We start from the raw sequence: 4,618 nt of genomic DNA, 5'->3' as shown, positions 1-4,618 counted from the left end.
GCATAAATACAATTTTTACCACACCTTTGGCTACTAGTAGAACAGAATAAAACTTTAACATTGCATATTGAATAAGAATTTGTGAAAAGAAGAATGCATTTTTTTAAGCGATTTTCAAGGTACTTTCCTGAGGGACATTTTACACATTTTCAAGATAACAAATCCGTTTGAAGACAGCATTGGCTTGGACAACACAAGTTAGGAGAATGACAAGTCCTCTTCAGAAATGTCCAACCTGTCAACATGTTAGTATGGCTTCAGGGGAAAGTATTTTCTACGAGAATCTTATTAAGTTTCAGAAAAACTTGTTGTAAACATTGGATAAAAGAGGCATCACAAATTATTTCTGAGGTAGAGATACAGCCAGTGCTTCAAAAAATGAAGAGATACTGAAGTGCTTTGCAGTGAAAATAAAATCTCTCTCCTACTTCTGAAACCATATCCTGTATCCTGTGCCCTGAACCAGCACCAGGCTGCACTGTCTGCTGGTGATTAACTTCTTGTTTTTTTGTTTTGTTTTGTTTTGTTTTGTTTTTTGACAGAGAGTCTTTCTCTGTCACCCAGGCTGGAGTGCAGCGGTGTGATCTCTGCTCACTGCAAAATCCACCTCCTGGGTTCAAGAGATTCTCCTGCCTCAGCCTCCCAAGTAGTTGGGACTACAGGCACACACCACACCACCACGCCCAGCTAGTTCTTGTATTTTTAGTAGAGATGGGGTTTCACCATGTTGGCCAGGCTGGTCTCGACCTCCTGACCTCAAGTGATCCTCCTGCATTGGCCTCCCAAAGTGCTGGGATTACAGGCGTGAGCTACCATGCCCAGCCTGGTTCCTGGACATTGACTCTTCATTCTTCTCTATCTGGAGCCTGGCCCAACTTCAAGAAGCTTCCCCAACCCTCTGATTTCTGCTTAAGTTTGGCCAATGGATATCAGAAGATTGGGCAGAGCATGCAATTGAGTCATCCATGCCCTGCAGCTGTTTCCTGGGCCTTTATGCAATGCTAAAGTTCCTCTTTTCAGTTTTTTTTTGACAGCCACAGCCTATGTTCAGAATCTGATAACTGTTCTCTTCATTGGCCCCATCGGGGTACCAGGTCTTCCTGCTATAACTAGTCCTGGTTACCCCTCCTCATTTCCTGTAACCTTCCTCACATATTTGCACAATGTCCCTTTATCTAGCAATCCTCAATTGCCCCTACATGAGAGTGCCCTCTGTTCCCCTTAAACCCTGACTCAGACAAGTAGAGCTACATATGTTAGTGTCTTATGAATCCATCCAAAAAATTCTCTGTGCAATTGCAAGCAACTACAAACACCAGTGTTCATTTTCCACATTCCTTTACACAAGAGATGTCATATAGCTTCATTCTGTTCTCTGCTTACTAATCTTTTGTTGTTTTACTTAGCACTGTATTCTGACCATCATGTCATAATGCTACATGGTAATTCCGAAATGCCGTATTTTTTTTACAGCTATGTAATTTCCTTCATACATATGGAAAATGATTCATCTGTGTAACCAATTCTCTGTTTAAAAAGTGCAGCTATAAATAACCTTGTGCTTATTTTTCATAAAAGTGTGTATGTATCTGTAGGATAATTTCATAGCAATAAGATTTCTGGGTCAAGTATAGGTACACTTGTAATATTCTTAGATATTTACCAATTGACCTTGGTAGGAATTGAATTGTAGCTAATTTTGTAGCTCATTATAATCTGACACACTTCAGCGCTTATAACAGAGACTTAAGTCAAAATTTAAGCAGATTGCAAAACTGATAGTTAAAAAAATGATCTTAGTGTACTTTTGAATAATTTCTCTGCTAATTAATGGGTTGTACATATTTTATGTGACTAATAATTCATATTTTATATTCTGTGTACTCTATGTTAATTCTATTATCTCTATTTTATATTATATAGCTGAGTTTTTATATGTATTATACAATTCTAAGAGATTATATATATATAATCATTGCAAGAAATTTTATTTTATTTTCAGACATTAAAATTACCCCCAAGCACCTTCTTGACATTGGCTTGTTTCTTGACCTCCATGATAATACCTTTTCATGGTACCTTGGCTTCTTATTTTTCCATATTTCCCCTCTACAGTCATTTCAAGGCTTGTCTGTCCCTTTTTGTTCTTTAAAAATTCATATTCTAGGCTGCTATTTCTGAAAGATTGTTCTTGGGATAGATCCATGAAAGTCTCTTGGGGAACTCAGTAAAAACACATTTCTGGGCGCCATTTTGGATGTTCTGCCTTGACATAATTGGCAAAATCACCTTGGAATAAGAAGTGTTAACAAGCTCTGGGATGGTGGGAAGTGAGATAGAATGTGAAAATCTAAAGCTTTGCTCTACAGAAACATGATAAACTGGGTATTTTAAATTTGTAGGTCCAGTTGATATCTTCTGTTCTTCATGGTGGCAGATATCAATGATTAAGATAAGTTCTTCTGCAGAATTTAAATTTTAATGGGAATTCTCTTCAATAGAAAGAACAAATAGCTCTACCCAAAGGCAAACTTGAAATCCACCTTCAGTTAAAAAATGCTGAACCTAATTTTGGAATGCTATTTTATCACAATATAATTTCAGCCCCAAATCTATGTGGTTATAGTATAGAAAAGATATAGATATAGATAGATATATATCAATATGCATATTTGTAATATTATTTATTTTGTTTAGTTATTGAAAAATATATAGAATATTTAAATATTCTATACTATAATCCAGAATATTTATATAAATATTTTATTTGCTTTCAAAATATTTAGAGTACATGGGTTTGTTTTAGATAATCATTGAGAATATATGTTTGTATTATATAGATAAATCATTGAGAATTGTCTACTTAAGGAGATAATTTATATATATGTATTTATATATGAGAAGGCATATACATATTCTCAATGCTTATCAGTATAAAACAAACCCATGTACTCTTAATATTTTGAACACAATTATATATATAAGTAGTATATAGTATGCAATATTAATTATACATGCTTTCTATATTATTATAACATAGTATTATAATCAATATTTAAAGAACATCATCTGTCTGCCTGTAAACAAATCCTTTAATTTAAACTGGCCTATGTGGTTTTGAAGGGCGAATATGCTTATTTAGAAATGGTTAAGAACTAAGAAAAAATAGGGACCATTGCATTCTTTTAAGTGCAGTGATATTTTCATGACTACTAAATGTACTTATTTATAAACATGGCATAATTTACTTCATAGACATGTAGTTGAACATTTAATTCTGCTTAGATGCATTCTTCTCTGAATGAGATTGCAGATTTATTTTGTAGTTTAGGTCCTGAGAAAGCTCACAGGTCCAGGTAGCCTTCCTACAGCAGCTAATGGAAGAATTGTTCTTGACTGTGGTGGTCAAGCTATGGTGGATGCTGATGGACAAATGACTGACATGGTTTATGTCAACTGCGTGAGCTGGGGGCAGTAAAGCTGCTCAGTTTACAGCCCTTTAATAGCTTTTAGGAATAGTTCTTTACTAAGTGCTTCATATCCGTAGTTGGGTGCCCCAATAAAACATCCGATAAACCATTGATGAGAAACCATAAACATTGTTTTAAAACCAAATTGAGGTGTACGCATAATGCAGCCTTTTATAGAGGAACAGCTGAACGATCGTCAAGTTTCCCACCCCATCATCCCATTTTCTGGATCTAACAATGACGTGTCATCCCAGGGCATTCACGAACACTGATTCTCAACACCACAGCACACAGAAACATACTCTGGGTATTTGTTGTGGATATGCACTTTGTTCTCTGTTGCTGTCTGCTTAAACCAGCAACAAATTCATCAATAAAATTAAGCCCTGAGAATCAGTTATTTTGGAAATGAATTTCACAACATTTGGGGCATAGCATGATTCATTAGCAAAACATTAAGTTTTGTTAGCTAACAAAAGAAACACCAAGACTAACAGCATGTCCACTTGCCTCGTCATATGTGTCTTGAAGGATATTTTAAATAGTTTTGTTTGTTTAAAGCGTTTTGTAAGAATGTAATCACTCAGAGAGCGACCCCTAAACACTGCGATTTATGACACATCGGAATGGTGCTTGTCTTCCTAATATTTGTGGTATATAAACAGAAACTATGATTCCAACTAGGAAATAAAAACAAATCACTATGTAATGGAACTCACATGTAGAAGAGGCAGTGTCTTAATTTAAAACCACAAAGGAGTCTTTTTCTTGTCAAGATGTTTGTAGCTGAGTTTCTCAAGCAGTTGTAATTTAACCCCATCATCCCTCAGCTCACTACAGACCTAAAATGGATGGGAAATGTCTGGGGAGGTACTCAGGGAACTGATCTTTACAAAGCTCTACCATCAGATGCCCACAGTGGCTCACACCTGTAATCCCAGCACTTTAGGAGGCGAAGGAGGGAAGCTTGCTTGAGGCCAGGAGTTTGAGACCAGCCTGGACAACATAGCGAGAGCCCCATCTCTATTTTAAAAATAATAATAATTAACTATTTAAAACTTTTTTAACTCTATGATGTGTCTGATACTCAGCATTGCAATCTGGTGGATTACGTATTCAGTTACATTTATAAAAGTAACTTTGAATGC

The sequence above is a fragment of the Homo sapiens genome, chromosome X (assembly GCF_000001405.40).
Source record: "Homo sapiens chromosome X, GRCh38.p14 Primary Assembly".
Lineage (NCBI taxonomy): Eukaryota > Metazoa > Chordata > Mammalia > Primates > Hominidae > Homo > Homo sapiens.
Note: the sequence above shows the minus strand (reverse complement) of the source record.